Source organism: Homo sapiens, chromosome 3 (genome assembly GCF_000001405.40).
Source record: "Homo sapiens chromosome 3, GRCh38.p14 Primary Assembly".
In the NCBI taxonomy this organism is placed as follows: Eukaryota; Metazoa; Chordata; class Mammalia; order Primates; family Hominidae; genus Homo; species Homo sapiens.
Window position 1 is genome coordinate 68,003,201 of NC_000003.12, and position 22,914 is coordinate 68,026,114.

Sequence of the window (22,914 nt, forward strand, 5' to 3'; positions counted from 1 at the left end):
AAGACTGACGAGTCTGAAGGATCCCTAACTCTCTCACTGTGTGTAACATGAGAAAACAGAATCACTTGCAAAGATGTGCAGCAGCATTGGACCTTCTTTATTGTGCCTCTGAAAGGCAAGAGAGTATTCTGGGGAATTTCAAAATGTTTCCAAGGAAGCAATATTATGAGAACTACCTTGATTTTGAAAACACCATAAAAGATTAGACAGTATCATCTATAACAGTGGGGATCTCATCAATCACGTTTTCTGCTTTGTTCCCAGGCACCTAACACATAGTAGGTGCTTTATAAGTGATTTGTGAAATAACTGAGGGTATTTCAGAGAATTATTACCAGCACAATCTATAAATGAAAACTAGGTCATCTTGTATTCATCATTGAAATTTAGGCAAAATTATACTATATTTCTGAAGAAGAAAGGGTTCAAACCGTAGTAAGAGGAAGAAGATGTTGAACTTCTGAGTGTTTTCCCTCCCCACCCCAGCATGTTATTTGAAGGAGAGGAAAAATTTTTTAAAAAAGAGCTGTGAGCATATTTCTTCATTTGATGCTGAAAATAACATATTTTTATTTATTAAACATGTTCAAAAAGTTCAGAAGGTTTTTATTGGACTTATGCATATACGCATCTATGTCCTATTCCAGGTAAATTCTAGTCTATTTAACTGCTGAAACAACCAGCAGACTTAAATTAGTATAAACCTGACAATATTTGTGGTTAATTTACTGGTAAAAAGAACATTAAGAGGTAAGAAATGGCTTATATTTCACTTTCCCATTTACTGTTAGAAGTCTAACTCCCACTAATACTATCAGTATTTTGCAGAATGCTTTTTTCTTGTTTCTCCTTCCCTCTTTACTCTTTTGTTAAATCAGTGGTATCAGTAGGACTTCTAATGTAATAAATCAGGCAATATAATGTTAAAGCGCTGCTTGAGTTGTTGAAGAGTTAGTAGGCAGATATTACAATTCACTGTAGCTGTAATAGAGGGTAATGTCACTTTAAGACATGTGATACTTTAGAGCGGAGGGATGTATTGAAACAGACTACTGCTACTTACAGCACCGTATAGCAGCCCTGCTCCTACATTTTGCTGCCTTACTCTGCCCCGAATGCACTGGAGTGGGGATGGTCCATCGGCAACTATAAACTGATTCTCATCAGGAAACTGCACATTATCTCCCCATCACTTCAAAGGTCTCGTCAGGCAGAGGTGACGCCAGGAGATGATTTAAAGGTGAAAATGACAAGGTTTCCACCCCTCAAACCTTGGCTCCTTTTCTGACAATACAGTCTGAATGAACCCGATGTCTTTTTTTTTACTGTGGAAATAGGATCGGAAGAGAGTAACATTTTTTTTTTTTTAATCCTGATAAAGAAGATTGTTGGGAAGCTCTTTGAAAAAAAATTTTAAATTGTGGCACAGATGGATTTTAAAAAGTGTTAGATCTTTCCAATGAACACTAATAGAGTACTCTGCTCTTGGCTGGATTTTTCAGGTAAGAAGCATCTTTAAGGGTTTAAGATTCAGAAAGCAGATCTGAAACATATCCAGGCATATCTAGAGAACTGTGCAAGGCTGAATGCTTTATTTGGGGAAGACGCTTAATAACATTGAGACAACCCCTTGGTAAAGGAGCAAGCAGTGAGAGTGACATGCAGGAGGCTTGGAAGTAATGCTGAGAATTTAAAAAAGTTAAATTAAAAAAATATATATTGCAAGCATAAAATCACAGTAATCCTTTTGAGTGGTAGGATCTATATGGGTGAAGAAATGAGCAAGAGAAAGCAGTCATTGAAAAACTATTAAGTTTTGGTTGTGGCAGGATTTTTTTTTCAAGTTTGGATGAATTTCCAGTACATTTTAACTGCAATTCACAAGCAGTAAATACATCCACAGTCACCTCTGTTTTGTCTTTCTGTAATTTGCAGGGTATTCTGAAAAAGTCCCCAAATACATTCATTTTAGGTTTCACAGGAGGGGTGTTGCTGTTTATTTCCACTGAAGAGAATGCATGTATGTTATCCCAATAGTTCTGAAAACAATAAGGCAAAGTATGTTGTATACAAAAGTAAACAGTGGGCAGTGAAACTAATTAGAAAGTGAATGCTCCATCTGAATCACAGACTTAGGCATGAATAGCACCAAGCTGTTGAAAATAATGTTTTCCTGCTTTGCACTTAATTATAGTTGTCACCATTTGTCTATTATAGTCCTAAAATCCTTCCAAGACTGCATCTCTCTGCTAAAATCCACAAATTAGCGTGCATTATGTGCATACATATGATGTATATTTTTGTTTTCTGAACATCAGTTTTTAATAAAGAACCAATTTTCATGAATAAAGAAGCCAGGCTGGGAGGTTACTAGCACGTTTTCAACGTATAGTTGAGATTTTTGAAGGGTATGATTTGACAGTGAAAAGGAAAAGAAAGAAAGAAATCTTCCAAAGCCCTCTCTGCCTAACAGAAAAGCATACAGTTAACTGGATTCTTGTGTAGAAAATGCTTCCCTATCACTGGCTGAGTAAGGACGGTGCTTCAAGTTTGATTAATTTGGCAATATGAAATGCAGCATAAGGTGTTGTTTGAGAAATTGGACAATATATAGCGCAGTTGAGCCTTTGTAGTTCCTAAGATCCTCATAGGTGCAGATAAGACTGTCAAAGTTTCAGCACCCGAGAAAAGGTACATATTCATCCATAAATACATATGCCACCTGTATATGCATATTCATCAATGCTATACAACAAAAGCTACAATGGAATCTTAGGAGGCTAAGCAATATTGCAAATTATGGCTTGCTCTAGGATAGAAGCATAGGTGTTGCATCTGAAACTCATTCTGGCTAAACACAATCCCTTCTGATTCTTAGGTCCAGTCAAAAGGATCAGTTCTATCAGGAGATTACAACATGCCTCTGAGAAATGATTACTTAGTTTAGAAGACAGCATTGCAATTAAAAATTCATGACTGTAGAATTAAAAAAAAAAAAAGAACCCACTCTTTCCTTCCAGGCTTATGTCAGACTTGCAATGAAGTTAGAATGAACAGGAGGAGTCTGCAGCTTTTCAGTGCCTGGGATAACTATAGTTTAAAGATCATTGTGTAAAATAGGATTTTTAGTCAGCATGCATTGTTTTAAACCGACTAACTGATAGCCTAAAACTTTATTTTTGCATTTTGCCAATCCTTGGAGTTTTGTTTTGCAGAATTAAGAAAAAAATGAATGTATGATCATCTGAAAAGGGCTTTCTCTCAATCCCACTTCATGGCATGACCTCTGCTGGATCATTAGTTCTAGCCAGAGAAGTAGCAAAGGAACATGACGTCTGAGACCTCCCTTCCCTCATCAGTGGGGCTGACTGAGCTGGGGGCTTGAAGCCGGAGGTAACCTTTCCTGTCGAATGTTCTCTTTAGAGAATGGCAATGGTCTCTGCGATGTCCTGGGTCCTGTATTTGTGGATAAGTGCTTGTGCAATGCTACTCTGCCATGGATCCCTTCAGCACACTTTCCAGCAGCATCACCTGCACAGACCAGGTAAGTCAGGAGCTGGCTCCACTGCAGCCTCCTCCAGTCTTACCACTATTTCCTTAACAGATGGTTGAATGCAAGTGACATAAAGTGCTATAGTGTGGGCAGCTTGCCTTTGAATTCCAAGACATATTGTTGGCTGGATGCTTTGGGGGAAGGGGAGTGTGCCAAAATGTCTTGGAGGTATTTCTATTAATTTCTCAGAAAAGGTGTGTTTTTCTAAGTGTCACCCCACCTGCTTCTACACACCTTGAAAAGTAGAAGTCATCTGTTTTTGGATGCTTTGGCCAATAGCAGAATATTCTGCAAAAGTTGGAATAACTTTCAATACTTGAGGATTTTACCTACTATAATCTTGGTCTGTATGTGGCTAAGAATTTTGTGGGGGCATAGTCCCCAAACTAACTTTGGAAGCAAGTTGTCAATGAAAAAGAAATTAAAAAGTAACTTACTATTTCTTGCCTGGTTTAATGTGCCTTCTTTCCTTTCTCCCTTCCTTCACTTTCTGTTCTTCCGGTATGCTCAGTGGCATTTTTCCCTCTCTTTTGGCAGTTTCAGGGACGAAGTCCCTCCCACCTGATTTTTGTTTTGTTTTGTTTTGTTTTTCCTATATTGAATTTTTAGTTCCGGACGCATTTTGCTTTCTTCCTCTTAATGTTCAAAGTATATTTCTCACCCTTCCACGGCCTCGCTCTTCATTCTGGATTTTGCTCTCCTTCTTTGCCTCTCCAGCTTTCTCATTACAGTCCCTCCCAGCTCGATTGTCCTTACCTTCCCCGGTTCTTGGAAAAATTTCCTTCCATTTTCTGTTCAGTATCAGCCTTCGCATCCTTCTACTACTCACCCCGCCTTCACCCTCCACCCCACCTCCCTCCCTCCCCTCCCTTCCTCTCTCGCGACGGTCAAGTTCGGGCTCTGGGGACCAGTTGCGCGCCCAAGTTTCTGATGCTCAGTTCTGAAGTGCTCCCAGCCCTCCACCCGCCTCTCCAAATCCCATCAATGGCCTCCTCCCCCCATCCGTCGAGCTTCCTCCTGCTGCGTAGTCCAGCGTCTACGCCCTCGCCTTTCCCTGGCTCCTCAGTCGGCCTGGACACCGATACTAGGCTCTTCTGTACAGCCCTCCAGCAATACCTTCCGGGGCCCCGCTTGCTGCCTCCTGGGGCTCAGCTTCCCTGCTGGGGGCAGGCATGTCAGAGCGCGGATGCAGCCCAGGGTCCTCCCGCGCGCCTGCACCAGGCTGCAGCGAGCGCGCAAGCCTGCTGGGTGCTGGAGCTCGGGCCGCCCCGGGAGAAGGGGTGGGGCTGGCTTGTGCTAGGGGCTGAGGCTGGGGGCTGTTTCTGGGCCCTGCCACCCTGTTTCCCCCAGCCCTGGTCTGACAGGGAAGGCGAGGGGGCGCTGGTGCCCCTGCAGGTGGGCAGGGAAACCGCCCTCTTCAGGACGCGCTTGTATTTCTGCATCCTGTGTCCTGAGCCTGGCGCGGGAACCGCCACTCAAACCCTCAGTGCAGCCGAGATGGAGGGAAAACAAAAGTGAATTTGAGATTCCCACTTTACCTCCAATCACTTAATCACAATTTGTTCTGGCACAAATGTCTTTCACTTGTTACATGGTCATAAATAATAAACAGTGCGGGACATCTGCATTCGTTGTGATGATCAAGAATAAGAATTCATAATAAAAACAACTACTACGTGTATGTTTTAGGCAGGGCTCTGAGGATTAGTTCACACTGTTCAGTTTAATCCTTATGCAAGTGGGTGTAATTTCTCCCCTTTCGCCCAGGAAACAGAAGCTCTGAAAGGTTAGGTGGCTTGTCTGAGGCCACACAGGGAATAGCTGCCATTGGAGGTCAAATCAGCACGATTCACCGCCAGAGCCTGTGTCCTCAGGAGGCGAAAATGCCTCTCGGTGCACCGAGTGACCATGCCAAATAGCTTCTTTGAGGAAGTGTGAGCCCCTTCATATAATTTTTGAAAACTTTCATTATGTCAATACTTGGTCCAATCTCAACTGCACACCCATTCTGAGAGGTGGCCATGGCAGAACTAGTGAGTGGCACGTGGTTGAGGGGGAAAGGCAGGGCTCGGGGCTGGCCACCTGAGTCTCTGTCACTTAAGGTTAGTGACATAACCTTGGGCAACTGACTTTTCTGCTCTCATTCCCCATTTATAGATATGGTGGTTGGGGGCGGGGAGAGGTGGGGTGTAAATATAATAAAAATAACTTCGAATAAGTCTTTTGTAAGCTGTAAAGTTCTTCACAAATATTGGGAATTACTGATGTCCCCCCTTAATAGACTGTAAACCCACAAGCCAGGGATGTTTGATGAATAAAGTTTTGCTGTTCACACAGCTAATAATCCACATAGCCAAGGCAACAACTCTTTTTTTTCTCTTGCTATTGTTTTGTTAACCATGTGGTACATGGCTAGAATATACTACCAATGCTATGTGTCTTATTTTACTCTGTGCGTATAATCATGAAATAGATACAGTACCGTTTGTAACAAGCTTTCACATAGTTGTCTCTCTTAATCAGTGAATATATGGAGTTTTTCATTGGGGGTTATGTATAATAAGTAAACTTATGTCTTTATAGGGCTTATTGTTAAAATACCGTAGTTTAAAACTGAGAATCACATATTAGGTTCTGGCTGAAATTAAACTCAATATTTGTTTTCTCCATTTTCTTCCTTAGAATTTGTGTATTATCAACCAATGCGTGGTTGATCTGTGCGTCAAATACCCCAAGAAACTGCAGCACTGAAACCAATTTTGACCCCAAGTGCTAATACATCTGAGACCCATTTCAGCTTTATTGTTGAAATGAAGAAACTATAAATATCCCTTCCTAGATGCAGAATGATTAAAATGATATTAAACTTAACATCCAATAGTTCTATATAATACGTTTATTCAACTTTCTTTGGTTTTTGACAATAGCTGCAAAGATTAAAGTGATAGATCTTGGTCATAGCCATATTCTAGATTATTCCAGTCAGACTCTTTAATACAATCTTTTGATTTTAAGAATAAAAATATGCTTTTATTTTGGATGAGAGTTGTGACGTTTTCCCTTGTAGGTCTTAAATCTCCAGGGACACTAATGAAATGTGTATGAAAACAAGATAGAAATCAGGGCCAGTTATCTGTGACAATCCACCCCTAAATGAACAAATAAATAAATAAATTGCTGGATAAATGAGCAAAAAGGAAAAACATAATCTCATTTTCTCAAATCGGTTAAAACAAGTGACATGATGAGAAAAAAATGAGACACCCGCAGACCCTGAGCTCTGCCACATTTGCCTAAGCTTGAAAAATCACCTCTTTCATAAAGCAAGAGCAGGCAGACTCCGCGTGCATACCAAGTATCTGGGAAATGTGGAAAATGACAAATCTTTCACTCAGAGCCTTGAATGGAAGGAGAGTGAAAGCTTTACAGCTGCTTCCTCACCTGCTTAGGAATGGCTCCCCCCAATCCCCTCCCTCTGTTCCCCAGCCTCTTACGGGCACTTTGGCTGTTCCTTGCATGGTAATATTGATGGTATTCAGACAGCAAACAGCCAATTTCAGTCTCTCAAGAAATAATCCACTACATTGACAGGTGAGTGGAATTTGACGTGATGTTCCCCTCGTTCAGATTGCCTCACCTGGATGGCACCAGCCAGCCAGGGTCCTTTAGGGGAAATGGTTAGAGACTTGGGCCAATTTCTGCTGTCATAACATGAAATCGAGACCACGTTTTTGTGAGGCCGTGAATTTGTGATCTGTCTTCTCAATGCAGTGGGTTTGTACACAAACAGAATGAGAATATGTTAACTAGAAAACTGACTCATTTTAATGTATTCGCCTGCAGTCTCTAACTACTTCCTATTTTTCATATTTATAGTATTAGGAATGCACCATTTATTTTCAGTTACTCACTAGTTAAGGAAGATTAAAACAGTCAATCAAATGAAAGTGAATTTTAAAATTACACTAATGAGTAAAATGTGCTGTAGATTAACAGATTTGTAATTTCAATAATTTAATATTTGGCTGGATCAAGTTTTTATTTGGGGAATGATGTAGGAAATTACCCTAAAAACTTGAAGAATACTTGAGCTTCTTTTTTATTTTTCATTATAAAGCTATAGACAGGACATTTAGTTGTAAAAAGACACACTAAAAAATGAAAACTCAAAAGTGGTGTTCAATTGTTTCAGGTAATTATAAAATAGACACCTCAACTCTTTATAATCACCAGGTTTTTTTGTGTAACAGGTAAAAAAAGATTGAACGGTTTTTGCTAATCATAATTTTCTGTTTTAGGATGAGTTTTTCCCCTTATGGATATATGAATTAGGACAGCAATTTTGATAGTTACTTAATTTTGAATGTGTGTGTGTGGGGGGTGGTGGGGGGGTGGGTGTCCTTGAAACTTAGTAAAATATAAATCATCTCAAAATTATTTAGCAAGAGAAGATCCTTGGGATTCTTCAGTAATTTTAAATTATATAGATAAATTACATGAGACAAGAAGTTTTAAGTGCCTAATGAATCATTTATTCCTGAGTCACTGCTATTTTATCGACAGGGGTGTACGGAAATGATATATAAAAAGATTACTCTGAATAGAGTTGTCTGTGTAATTTATACTTGACCTGATTTAAAGCTATATTAAGCAAACTATGTGTGTTAGATATATTCATTTTTGCCTTGATTATTACATACTGAACATCACCTTCCATTTTAAAGTAGGATATTTTTGTTAAAATATTAAAAAGCATTTTTGTATGCCTTATACTTATTTTTACCTTACTATTCAATATTACTTTATTGAAAGCTGCTCAGAGAATATGCAGTAGAATACCAGAGTACATTACAATAAAGGGTTGTTTTATAACTGTAATATAAAAGAAATAGTGGGTACAACTATGGTCGCATATTGGCTCTTTAAGAATGCGTACCAGTGCTAGGCTGCTAAATATAGCGAATTGGCCTAAGGATTGGAGCAGACAGGTTGTTATTCGGTGCAAGCTGGTGCTTAGTGATAATCCATCGATCATCTGATTGATCCTATTGACCTCATCGCAGAGTCAGGGTGCAGCTATTGATATTTGATCAGACCCTATAATATCAAAGCCAAATACAGATGCAAATAAATATTTCCTGCTGATCTTATGAACTTATAAGAAAATTATTACAATGCTATAAAAACTCTTACTTACGTAAGCTCAAACCTATGGTTTCAACTCCTAGTTAGGGAAAATAGATGTTATACCACACTGCAAACAAAAATATTTAGAAATGGCAAAAATGAAGTTTAGCCTTTAATTGTTAATTTCTTAAAGTTTACTTAAGAAGACAATTTGAACTCTTTTAAACATTCTTTCAATTTTAAACTTTCTGCGAAAGTATCAAAGCTTAACTGGATAAATCGGCATGCCATTTTTGATAACAATTTAGTAACATCTCCCAAGATGTAAAATGTGCAAATCCTGACACTTCCATTTCCAGGTGCTTATACTAAGAAAATTATTAGACAAATGTGAAAAGATGTATGTTAAGCTATAGTTATTGCAACAATGGTTTTAATGGCAAAAAATTGAAGAGGAGTTTCATCTCCGTCAAAAGGGGATTGGTAAAATAAATCATAGCACATCCACACAATGGGATTTGATGTAGACATTAAAAGGGATGAGAATATGTCTATCTACCCACGAGGAAAAATGCCCATGTTACATTGCTGAGTGGAGAAAACAAGGAACAGAATACTCTGCTTCAAAATAATTTTGGAGAAAAGAATCATATTTGCACATACATAAAAATGTCAAAAAGGATATAAACATCCTTTCTACAGTGGTAGTTAAATCTGGTGAGAGGACTAGAATGACTTGAACTTTTAACTTCCTATAATTTTTATTTTTTGGATTCATTTTTGGAATGAACATATATTGCTTTTTATCAAAAAGCTTAAAATATTAGTGAGAGAGTTTCAATGGTAAAATTAGAAAGATACCAAACCACGTTTCCAGTTTAAGAAAAAAGAAGGGAGAATAAGTAGGAAAATATCATGAGGCCCTTTTCCTTTTAAGGGTCTTAATCCAGTAAAATGTCTAGGCCAGCATTTCAGAATTATACTTCATGAAACACTGTCTTCTGAAGATACTCCTTGGACAAAAGTGTCCACTGTTTGTTATGTTCTCCTCCTGGAGATTTGCAGTGCTTGTAAGTATATGAAAGTTCTGGAAAGATTTGCGTGTAAGAAATCTGATTTTGTTTAACTAAAATTTTCCAGACACTTTTTTTTTCGACAGCATCTACCATACCTATTCAGATTACATGCATTGAGAAGCATGGGCCAAGATAATTCTGGAATCCTCTGTTCATCCTTTTATCTCTCACTTCTACTGAGTTGACACATACTAGGTTCTCAGAAAATACTTGTTTAATTACTAAGGAAACGAGGAATGAAGATTTTGGTGGAATCTTAAACTGTTCCTTAGTTGTTACTACTTGTGTGTGAGTGTGTGTGTACATATGGATGTATGTGCATTTTTGTGTGTGTGTTTATAATTTCGAGATTTCTCAAATGGAGAGTGTCATAAACATTATTTTGTCAGTATAACATACATGTATTATGTGTGTATCTTTATGTAGATATTTGACTCTATTCAATTTTGACAGCTACTCCATTCAAAATAATTCAAAGACTATACTTACAAATGTAGTGAAAAATTAAATCCCTAAGGTTTTCAGTCACAGGTTTGGGGATTTTTCTCCTCTATAAGTTTAGAAAAGACTATAGGAGTTGTCTTGAGGGACTGAAGAGGCTTCACTTGGCAAATAGGGAAAGGACTTTTACTTTCCAAATCTTTTGATATCAAGAGAAAAAGTCACTTTGCCTTTGTAGCAGAGAGAAAATAACACCAGACAAGCACTTTTTCCTTTCTTTGGGAATAAAGAGAAGATGAATTTTGTTTAAAATTTGTATAACCTAATTGAATTCCCCAAAGATAATACCCTCAAAGCACTTAGGGAACTCTGTTGGCCCATTATTTCTTTCTCTTTTCCCAACTTCATATAATAAAGGTCCAAAAAAGAAAAGAAAAATGATATTATCACAGGGTTTCTCCAAGAAAATGGATAGGAATGCTGAGGGATCTGCCTATTCATTAAGCAGATCTTTCTTTAACGCAGGGAAGGAGTCAAACCAAGTTGTTCTCTGAGTCTGCAAGGGAGGAAGACCTCTCACATCCTTAGGTGTGGCATTGTTCTACTGATGTAATTACTGGCATTTACCTTTACTATGCAGTTACTAGACCTTCTTTTCTAGGTGTGCTTTCATATCACACAAGAATAAATCCAAGCTGAATCTGTGTACATTCAGAGGACTTTTCTTATTTTCCACTTTTGTGGATGAAGAATGGACCAATTGATTCACATACTTTCAAGTGAATACAGAATGTCAGCTCCTAGATTTAGATAAGCTAATACACAGGCAGGGGGTAAAGCACCTCAGTGTTCCTGAAATTAACAGTATACTGCATTAGGATCAGCAGGCCAGCAGGTCTTACTTCTCATTGAATTAATATTGGGTATGTATTCAATAATTATTTATTGATCATCCTAGCTTTAGCCGAGTGAGAACTTTACATTCTTTAAAATTCAAAAAGTGGTAGAAAAACATCACATTAAGCCTTTTTAAAAAATATCAAATGGTAATGAGGAAAGAGCACCAGAGTAGGAGTCAGAGGCTGGAGCTTTCAAGATCTCCTTTAAGTTGTCAAATTGCAAAGCTCCAGATGAGAGCGTGGGAAGGAATTCAACAATTTTCATGTTGTACCTGGTAGCTCCAAGAGGGAGATCCATGTGTTCCATAAACAGTGAAGTATATTCTGCCAAATAAGTTTTAAACTACCCAAGGAACTGGTTTATTAACTTTATCTATTTGACATAGCAGGATTCAAAATTACCTTTTCTTATGTAAAAAAGCATTCTGCTAAAACTATTTGAAAACTTTGTGGATGATTTCATAGGTAGGCAAAGCAAACACCATCATGGACCAGGCAGGTGACAAAATGATTGTTCAGATATTAGGAAATGCTGAATATTGCAAGGCAAGCCAGAAATCTAAAAATTGATGTGTAATTTTCTTACCTTGGAAATGTCAGGTGGGCCAAATAAATCAAGACTGATGGCTCTATCCTACCTGCAGGCTGTCAGTGCATAACCTCAGACAAGACTACCTCCAACTCTAACATTTTATGATTTCTAATGATTTTATCAAATATCTTTATGCAAGCAGAGTAGAGAGAGAAGCGAGGGAAGTGGAATCAAAAGGGGATGTTCTGTGCACATGTGTTTTGACCTACTTTAAAAATATGCCCATGGTGTAGTCCTGTACTGAGTTATACCCAGCAGACTAAAACATTGTGTCTGTAAGCTAAATGGTATTACTGGGGCTCTGGTAAACAGCTTTGATATAATGAAGACAATAGTTGATTCAATAGCCTCATTTGAATCTCAGCTAAAAATCAATTAATTTTCTTTCTTTCTTTTTTCTTTCCTTTTTTTTTTTGAGACGTAGTTTTGCTCTTGTTGCCTAGGCTGGAGTGCAATGGCATGCTCTCGGCTCACTGCAACCTCTGCCTCCCAGGTTCAAGCGATTCTCCTGCCTTAGCCTCCTGAGTAGCTGGGACTACAGGCACATGCCACCATGCCCAGCTAATTTTTATATTTTTAGAAGAGACGAGGGTTTCACCATGTTGGCCAGGCTGGTCTCAAACCTCTGACCTCAGGTGATCCGCCCACTTAGGCCTCCCAACGTGCTGGGATTATAGGCGTGAGCCACCGTGCCCAGCCTAATTTTCTTCTTGATTATGGTTGGGAAAAAACAGTAATCAGCAAATCTAATAAAACAGAAGCATCAAGCAGCATAGAGATGCATATGTAAAACTCTTAATTTAATACTTTATGAAAGTTCTCCAAATCTAGTCTGCAGCCCACTAGTGAGTTATAAATTTATCTTGAAACCCAAGATTCTCTTTTGAGAAAATGATTTATGATATCATATATATTCATTTTGTCTATGAATAAAGGCTACTTATTAGTAAAACAACTGAGTTATCATTTTGCTATAAATTACATGTTAACTAGTGTTTACTGAACTTCCTTAATTCAGTATTCTTTAACTGGCTGTCAGCTCTTGGAAACATTGCAAAGTTTCTGTATGCAAAGAATTAGAATTCATGCAATGTGGAGAAGGATAATTTGTTATCAGTGTGTCATGAGTGTTGTCTTGAGTTATTAGTGATTTTCAATTGCTGTGGTCCTTGTTTTTTAATTATAAATTAGTAGTGGTTTAGTTTCATCATTATCAATTAAGTTTGCTGTGGACGATTGGGTTAACCCTGTAGTCTGTAATGATGGATATTTACATATTTTGGATTTTAAATTTGCTGAAGACTAGACTTTAAGACATTGCTTAATTGTGGTTCAGAAAATATTTTATCTATATTCCTATTGCTAAAACATGTATAGTCATGTGCTGCATAACGATGAATGGCTTATACCACAGTGGTCCCATAAAATTATAATACCATATTTTTACCGTACCTTTTCTAGGTTTAGTTAGGCTTTTTAAACTTTTGCTTTAGGTTCAGAGGTACATATGCAGGTTTGTCATATAGGTAAACTTGTGTCATGGGGGTTTGTTGTATAGATTATTTCATCACTTAGGTACTAGAGTTAGGTTTAAATACACAAATACTTATCGTTGTGCTACAATTTCCTACAACATTCTGTACCCTGATGTGCTATACAGCTTGTAGCTTAGGAGCAATAATCTATATCATATAGCCTAGGTGGGTAGTAGTCTATCTCATCTAGGTCTGTGTAAGTACACTCTGATGTTCACACAATGACAAAATCACCTAATGATGTATTTCTCAGAACATATCCCTGTTGTTAAGCGATACATGACTGTATTTGTAATTATCTTAAAATTTGCTTGTATGGTGATGTATGGTGACATTGTTGGTGACATTCACTGCCTGCAAACCTCTGCAACATATTCTCATGACCCATAATATTTATCTTATTTTTTGGTTCATAGGGCATCATTTTATAATATAAGAGCATGTTAATAGGTCTTTCTTATTGTATGAAAAATAATTTGTGATTCATACAAATTTTCTTCTAAGTATTTATTACTTAAGCACTTTTCCACTGGAAAGTGAAGACAGGAATTAGATATTTCAACTACTGAGTGTGCTGTGGTCAAGGAAAGTTTGAACACCACTGTTCTATAGAGAAATGGTAACTAGAGGTCAGCCCTTTATAAAAATTGCGACTTTAAAAATATGTGGCATAGCAAAAAGTATAAATAAATCAATAAATCCCCTATTGTGAAATAAAATGATAAGATATAAGACATGAGTACATGTTACTTGGAAGCTTCCCGGATGGGGGTCTTATTAAAATGAATTGGTTTTGTAGCTTTTTACATCTCTTTATCTGATGAACATGCAAGATGCCACCTACTGGACAGGTGCTTGAGAATCTAGGTCACTGGGTGAACATTTGTAGGGCAACACTTTTGACAGTTGCTTGCAGGATTGTTTAGAAGTAAGAGCAAATTTATGGCGTGCATGTTGCCAATCTCCAGACTTCTATCTATCACCAGCTTAGGTTAATCAGTCACAGCAGTTGCTCACACAGAGCCTAGATGTGATTTTAGAATCTTTTTCAATCTTTCTCCAGGCACTCCCTGTCAAATGATTGACACTGGCATGCAAGTTGAGAGTCATTGACCATCCCTTATGTGGGTTAATTTGCTAACCATCTTCAGAGTATCTCTTCTATCCAAAAAATGTGTGCCATGAAGTTTTTTTCATTAAAAAAGAAGAAAATGACCTAAGTTTAATTAAATCAAATTGAAATTTAAAGAGCCACATGGGTCCAATAGCTACTGTTTAAGATAGTGCAGCTTTAGACAGTTCTGTCAACTTCTGAGAGTTGAAAAACTTACTTTGTATTACCTCCAGAAAGTTTTGAGTCCTCGCCTGATTCTTCTCTAACTCTGTGTCTAAGATGCAAAGCTGCTTGTGTTATGGGTCATAACTGAATAGGGTACTATGTAATCATAAAGCAGGAAGCAATTCATTCTGAGCAGAGAAGATTTGGGAAGCCCTCATGAAGGAGGTGATTTTGTGTTGGACTTTGAAGGTTGGGTAGGAAGTCAGCTAGAAGAACAGAAGGGTGGTTTATTTAACACAAAGGAACAGAACAAGTAAAGACTTAGAGACAGGTAAGTGTAAAAGGATGGGGTAGCAGACCTTGATGGCTAGAGGCCCTGCACTAGTTAGAGAAACTTTTGTATCATTCCAATTAAAGGGAAAACAAGATTTTATTTCTTAATTACTTAGTTTTACAATCTCAAGGCTGCCTTATCAGTGTACATTGATGATCACAGATGGAGATGGATGGAAAGAGCCCCAGTGTCACAATGAGAGTCTCTATGGAACACAAGTCAGCCAATTGTCAAAGAAGTGGCAACCATATTCTGGCCAGACTCTCTGAGCCCTGTGGGGCCTTTCACACCTTTGAATTATTGTTATCTTTGTGCAATGAAAGGCAAGATGTGTCATAACTGTTGATTTCAAACATCTGGTTATTGTATTAAAGGAAGCTGCATAACTCTAACTCAAACCTAAGATAGTAATTATTTTTAACTTACAACAAACTTAATATTTATATCCAACAAATGGTTTATTGCACCTCCTAGGGGCGGAGGACTACAGTTACCCAGTAGTAATAGAAATGACACTTTACTATAGTCCCTGGTATAACTCTGATTTCCCTACCACATCACAAGCTATGTGAGGGTAAGGAACCCAGCAGTCTGACAAATGCCTGAAACAGTGTGGCACACAGTGAGGGCCAAATAAATACTTGCTAAATGAAGGAACGATCTTAAGCATTTGATATTTCAGTTAAACCTCACAATATCCTCATGAGGTAGAGCATCTTCCCACTTTTCTAGTAACAAAAATGTAAAAGAATATGTTAATGGATTTGTTTAAGGTCACCTAGCTTGGGAGGGCAAGTTGGGAGTTTTGCCAGCTTCTGAATAATGGCTCGGTTTACTGAGTGCTTGCTGTATACAAGCCTTAACATGGGATGTTTCTTATGATATGACATTTGGTCTGAACCAAAACCCTACGTAGATGGTACTGTTATTCCCATTTGTACAAAACATTGCAAAATGTGCTTAATAAGTATAAACATAAAAGGAAAACTTAGGTTGTGTAACAATTCTCAGTCAGGTTTCCATTACAAACAAGTACTACTTTTAGGAATATCAGCAATCTACTCTTGGTCAATTGAAATTAAATAACAAATTTCTATGTTGAGGAGCATTGTTCTACATTAGCCAGGCATCTGTTTCTTGGGCAGTTAGCTTGTTGTATATCATGTAATAGTTTTGAGTACTGCAGCTGAATAATGCTTGATTCTTAATTTCCCTATGCAAACAGGCCTGGCTGAAAGCATGGTTTTTTTCCTTTCTGGATTAACAGTGCCTAATTTTCAAGCATTTTTTACAGAGTTATTGTTTCCCAATAAATTCTTTTAGACTCCATAGACCCTTTTGTGCCCCAGTCAGGGAAGCAGCAGCATAGGATAAATCTACATTTATTAGACTTGCTCTTAGTGTAGATTTTTTGGTTTACTTAAAATGAAGTTATAAATCATTCACACTGGAAAAGAATGCTCTCCAACTGCAATTTAACTTTTTCATAAGATTGTTTGGCATTTATCATGTTGAGACTTTATAAATTATCTAGAATATTGTATAATGGGTTGACCTTTCTGGTAAGTGATTTGATCATTTGCAGCAGTGTCTTTTTGCTAAAATATAGAATATGCTGTCTTTCAAATAAAACTTGCTAGACCCATAGCCTAATAACATGTTAGGTAGAAATTGCCTATATAATCAGACCTGAAATTTCCCTTTCCAATTCTTGTCATCATCAAAAACAAACAACAACAACAACAACAACGAAAACAACACCCCTGTCTTCCAAAGATAGCCCCCCGGCCAGTGATGGCAAATTCCTGACACACAGCCCATTCTTCCTATGATTTTGCTCTAGCAGACATTGCTGATCAATTACTATATGCTTTGTGTTTGAACCCAGATTCAACCTCTGAATCCTTCCAAGCACAGTATAGTTCTCCAGTCATTGAGTAATTAAATGAGACAGGAATAAATTCAGAAACAACCAGAATAACTCCTCTTAGAAGAATCATCATCCAGCACTACTATATGTCACATACTGGGCTAAGTGCCCTACATGGACTTACTTGTTTTGTTTTGAGATGAAACATGTTGTCTGTTCCTGGGATAGGCTGTTCTTTTATGCAATTCAGTTGTCCCATCAAAATGGGCCACGTAGCATCTACTTACATCTTTGGAAATTGGGCAAAGAGTTGATTTGCTTGCAGGTCTTTTAACTGCCTTCACCCTCTTTGCTACCAGTGACTCTGGGTCTGAGGAGTCTGCAGGGACAGGGGAAACTTGGTATACTAGGCCAACCGGGAGTTTACATCCCATCTCTATCATTATTACACTTATTTGCTCCAGGCGTGGGCAAGTCAGTGTAACTTTCTCTGCCTCACCCATAGAGTGGGGGTTTGTAAAACCCCTACCTTGCCAGCTTAAGTAAGACATAGCGATAATGTGTATTCTGTAAGAAATAGAGACAATGTTTGTTCTACACTTGCCATATAGTAGGTGTTTAGGACATGTTATCTTCTTATATTTTATGTAAATATGTGAATGTCAGAGCAAGGATGGAACAGATAAACTGCCTACTACTAACCTGTATGCTGATAATATTTTATTATATGAAAAGATGCACATAGAAGTTTTACAACTTGGACTTATTTACTCACCTATTATCATACCTGAGTCTTCTGATAATAAAATCCATGTACTCATCACAGTACATGATATAGATTTTTATGGTTAATCTCTACTATGGAATACATAATAGTTGGCCACATGTTCTAAGTCAATATAAACAGGTCAATGCTTATTGTATCCTTCCTTCCAAAAGTACATTGTGTACGTAATTACAGGTGAAGGTGGTCTAGTTAAGAAGTTTAGTGGTGTCTGACCGGGAGCAGTGGCTCACACCTGTAATCCCAGCACTTTGGGAGGCTGATGAGGGTGGATCACCTGAGGTCAGGAGTTTGGGACCAGCCTGGCCAACATGGTGAAACCCCATCTCTACTAAAAATACAAAAATCAGCTGGACATGGTGGCATGTGCCTGTAATCCCAGCTACTCGGAAGGCTGAGATGAGAGAATTGCTTGAACCTGGGAGGCAGAGGCTTCAGTGAGCCAAGATCGTGCCACTGCACTCCAGCCTAGTCAACAGAACAAGACCCTGTCTCAAAAAAAAAAAAAAAAAAAAAAAAAAAGTAGTTTAGTGGTGTCTGGTGTCTGTGTGGTGTCACTAATAGGGAAGTTTGATTAATTAATGAAGATACCTGACCAATAACTCATTAAAGGGAAATAATCCAAAAGTTAGCACTGGTGTTTTGTGACCCTCAGACTGGATTATAATTGTGCTATAGTTCTATTAAAAGAGCTACTAGTCAGCTGAAATCTTACAGTGTGTATCCACACTTCTTGGGATGTTTTTTTCTTTTCAATAATTGTGTTGTTCTTACAATAATCCATCACCCTTTTATCATAGGATTCAGTCACTAAAGGAAGAAATCCAGGCATATTCTAATAAACACAATGGTAGCTAAATGTCCATCCCAAGGTATCATATGTGTGTTTCATCTATACTGCTGTATGTACCCTGTATTTTCTACTCTGAATACAAAATGACATCTATGTGTATTAAGAATTACATAACTAACAAGGTGTGTACTATTTTGAGCTCTAGCAAGAAAGAAAAGAAGAAGGAAAAAAAGAAGTTATCAGTAGTCAGTATCTTATGATTTAAGACTCCAGGGAATGTGAGCTAGTGTGAGAGAGTAGCCTATATAGTTAAAACCATGGTTTAAAGACATTATAAGATGATGGTAAATTTGCAATTAGTGTTTCAGGGTCTCCTAAGAATTTGTACATGACAGGCATTAGCTCTCTACTGAAGAGGGCAAAAACCATATAGAAGCCTTACCAAGTGCTTTGATCAAACTTTATTATCTCTTTTTTACTGTCCTCATTAACATACTTCAAAAACGCTGTTAAGTATTTCTGGCAAGCAGAGCATCAGAGTAATTTTACAGTAGTGTAAAGGATTTATTAATTATAATCTTTTCATTAGTCTATTTATATTCAATTGTGACATTAATAGGTTGCCAAAACAAACTAGATTTAATTGTATTTAATTAAATTGTTGAAAGTCACTAAGGGTAGTTTATTATTATTGTAAGCAGAAAACCCTATTGATGTACTTGTTTATGTGAATAAGATCTGGTGTAAAGTTCTTTCTACAGGATACGGTATTATTCATCAACAGGAAACAATATAAAAATGCTAAGTCAAGAAAGTTGTCATCATAATAGAACATTTGGAGGCAGAAGAATCAGATGGTATTTCTAAACTTATATCCAGTGTTAGGTAAATGAAGTGGGGTTCCTGACAGGACAGACATTCTTGTCTTTCTACTATGGCCCCTGGGTAACTCCAATAGTATCTGTCCATCCTTCTTTCCTTTCTTGGAGGGGCTGTTGGTGGGGGGAAGGGTCTAAGACACAGGTCAAAGTTTCAGTGAAAAGTAGTGCTTCAAATATCACCTGAAGAAGTAGGAATGGGTTATGCCAAGAGTAAGGGATGGAATTTGAGTAGCGAAGAATTCTAGGCAAAGAAACTTACATTGTCTTTAGTCAGGAGGTAGAATGTGAGAAAACCAGAATTAGAGAAAATCAGAAGAATACAAGGGAAAATGCATTGGTTTATCATGAATTAATGCTTGTAAATGCATTGAGGGTAGGAGAAGACAAAGTGGAAGCTGGCTTTGAAAAAAAATAGCACTTTTCTCCTTCAATTATGTATAAGATTTATATATATATATTATATATAATATATATATATTATATATATATATATATAAAATTAAGATTTGTATTAAGTGTTTACTATGTGCCTGGCCCTGTGCTAATCATTCTATATTATTTCATTAATCCTTATATTTACCACTGTGAGAAAGTTACTCTTGTTTTTTTTTTTTTTTTTACTTTGTACCAGTGAAGGAAATCAGGCTCAGAGAGGTTAAATAACTTGTTCAAAGTGCACAGTTAGTAAGTGGTAAAGCCAGTATTTGAACTGGGGTAACCTGATTCCAGATCCTATGCTGTTATAGACTACAACACAGAAATTTTCTCTGCCAGTATCATTAGTTTTGTTTGTGATGGACAGCGTTAAGATGGAAGTAAATGTATGTCAGGATATGCTAGGTGATGCTATGGTAACCAATCAGCCCCATATCTTTATGCATACTTCTTTCTTGCTCACGCCACTGTCTGCCAAGGTTGGGTGGGGGCTGTGCTCTACATTGTCTTCAATCCAGAATTCAGAGCAGCATCTTTTTGAAACAGTGTTGTTCACCGTGGCAGAAAAAGGAGAGTTTTGTAGGTTCAACATCAAATAAATGCCTTGACTTGGAAGTAACTTGCATCACAACTCACTGGCCAGACCTTGGCGTATGGCTTAACCCGGTAGCAAGGGGCCATGAAGTACAGTTCTACCATGTTCCTGGAAGGCAGACAGCAAGAGCTATTTGTTGAACAGCATTCATGATATGGCCACAAAATACCTTAGTGGTTAGAAAATGATATTTTCTTTGTGACGGTACTCTTTCATTCTTAGATATCCAAGCTTAGATATCTTAGCTTATTTCAGTATTTGTTGGATACTGAAATATCCAATGTTGTATCAGTTTACTCAGTCTATAAAGAAGGCAAAAGTGTAGATTTGAGAAGGGAATAATCCAGTGTGTGAATCAAAAAAATAACATGACATCAAGCTTGTTTTGTTTTATTTACATATAGCTGACTTTTGAATGAATTGTCATATGGCCCAGCTCCTCATTTAAGTAAAAATGAAGCAAACCTTTGAGGCTATGGAACTTTCTTTCCTTTTCTCCATCAAATCTCTTCACCATAGCAAATACCTAAGGGTCTTGCTTGCTTACTCTCTCCTGCCCTCTCTCCACCTTCTCATTTGTGAATCTAATCTGTGAACTGATTCCCAGTTTTAAGAAGAATTGCCACCTTGGAATAAAAGGTCAAAGCATTCAATACTACACTGTCTGGAATGCTGCTGTTTGCTTCAGATGAAACTTTTATAGGGCATATTCAGTAAGTAGGTGATATTTTTATATTATCCTAAGTATTTTTTATTCTCCTTATTTTTACTTCCAGAACTGTATCGTTTCTAGTAATAAATCAGTTATGGATCAAATGCATCCATTTGTCATGGATGAATGCCTATACATGCCTTGATGATGATAGGAAACAAAACCTTGTAAGGGTGGATGCTGGCTTTGGAAGAAAAAAATTAATGAAGCTTGGAAAACAGTGATAGCAGGGGACATTGCAATTTTAGGTGTTAAGTGACTTATTTTCAAACCCTACGAGTATGGCAATATTTTTCCTCTCCCCCTTCCTTTAATTAAACATTCTTGTAGTGCAGAGTGACCCCAGCTGAAGAAAAATTGTGTTAGGGAAAGTTAGGCTTCCTAAGCGCTGTTATTTAATAAACAGTCTTTCTTATTAGCTAAAATATTTGCCTTGATGGGCAGAGTACATTGTGAGGCCAAAATAAGAGAAGAAAAAATGGGAAGGCTAGCCTGGTTTACCAACACTTCTGTGTCACAAACATCAATACCAAGTGCTGCTTTCTTGCTGATGGTTCAGGAAGATGGCATTTACATATCAGGTTTAGTTTTGTGAAACTTAGCTTTAATCTCTCACCTCCCATCCCTTAGGGGCAGAATAAGGCTGAGGCAATTATTCTGTCAAGATTTTAAAGGACTCTCTAGACCATCTCCTTAATGCACACACACACACACACACACACACACAATTATACATTGTTAAGGTATTTAACAATCATATTTCGGAAATAAAGAGTTGGAAGTTGCCTTAGCAACCATGAAGACTGTGCTTTCACTGGACACTTCATTTGCCTCAAAACCTCCTCTGTCAAGTGGTTGTTGATTCACTGGTTGGATTTTCTCCCATATTGTTTTGGGGCATACTGAAATTGGGGATGACTCCTTTCTCTGGCCTGGGCAAAATGTTTTTAATTATAAAACAGATCTTCCCTAGTCCCCACACCTATTCCATCCATACCTTTCTTCATTGCAGTGAATAGCAGCTCCATCTTTTCCATTCCTTACTCACATCGAAAACCTAGAAATTGCCAACTACTGTCTTCAGATTTTACATTCCATTCTTCTCAGATTTTACACTCCATTCTTCTCAGATTTTACATTAAATTTATTGGAAAAGCTATCTTTCTCTAACTTCATGATATATTCAGACTCCAACCACTTCCCACCACCTCTATTGCTGTCACCCTGGGCCGAGCCACAACTTCCTCTACGTGGATTATAGGGGAAGCCTAGGGTGGTCTCTTGCTTTCACCTTTGCCACAGTCTATATTCTACAATCTATATTTTTCACACAGCAGGCAGATGGTGAGGTTAAAAAGTTAGTCAGGTCTTGTCAGTCATCTGTTCCAAACCCACACACAGTGGTTTTATTATTTCAGGGTAAGAGTCAAAGTCCTTGCAAAGGGCCCTAATAATATGCCCTCAACTTTTACCCCCATTATCTCCACAGCATCTTCTCCTACTTCACTCTTCTTTGCTCACTCTCCTTTATCCACACTGGGCTCCTTGCTGGCCCTTCAAAGATAGGCACACATCTGTATTCATTGGCTCTTGCTCTGTTTGGAATGCTCTTCCCCAGATGTCTACGTGATATACGTTCTCCCTGCTCCAAGTATCTGCTCAGATATCACCTCCTCTGTGAGGTCTTCCCTTACCACTTTATTGATTTTAATTTCACCCTCATCTCAGAACTGCACATCTCCATTCTCCTGGTCTATTTTTGCAGTAGCATTTGCTGCCTTTCACCTTACTATAACTCACTTACTTACCAAACTTGTCTCCCTCCACAGGAATGTAAGTTCCACGAAGGCAGGGATTGTCATCAGTTTTGATCCCTGTTATGTCAGAGGGCAAAAAGAAGGCTCTTAATAAATATTTGCTGACTAAATGAATGAATAAATAAAAGAAAAATGTCAGGACCACATGAGATAGAGACCATTCCTTTTATTTCCTATCAAATCTAACGTAA

The 22,914-nt window shown here is 37.8% G+C and overlaps 1 protein-coding gene across 7 annotated transcripts in view; it reads left to right on the plus strand.

The window, feature by feature from the left end:
* The window catches only part of TAFA1 (TAFA chemokine like family member 1), a 554,078-nt gene that overhangs the window by 11,657 nt on the left and 519,507 nt on the right, over positions 1-22,914 (plus strand). For 2 of the 7 annotated variants that reach the window (NM_001438647.1, NM_001438650.1), the window contains exons 1-2: positions 1,047-1,502; positions 3,216-3,544. In NM_001438647.1, coding sequence (NP_001425576.1) covers positions 3,427-3,544 — 118 coding nt within the window. In that variant the 5' untranslated portion in view covers positions 1,047-1,502; positions 3,216-3,426. Of the gene's footprint in view, positions 1-1,046; positions 1,503-3,029; positions 3,545-22,914 lie in introns of those variants that run through there. The other 5 variants (NM_213609.4, NM_001438648.1, NM_001438030.1 and 2 more) reach the window with 3 other exon arrangements.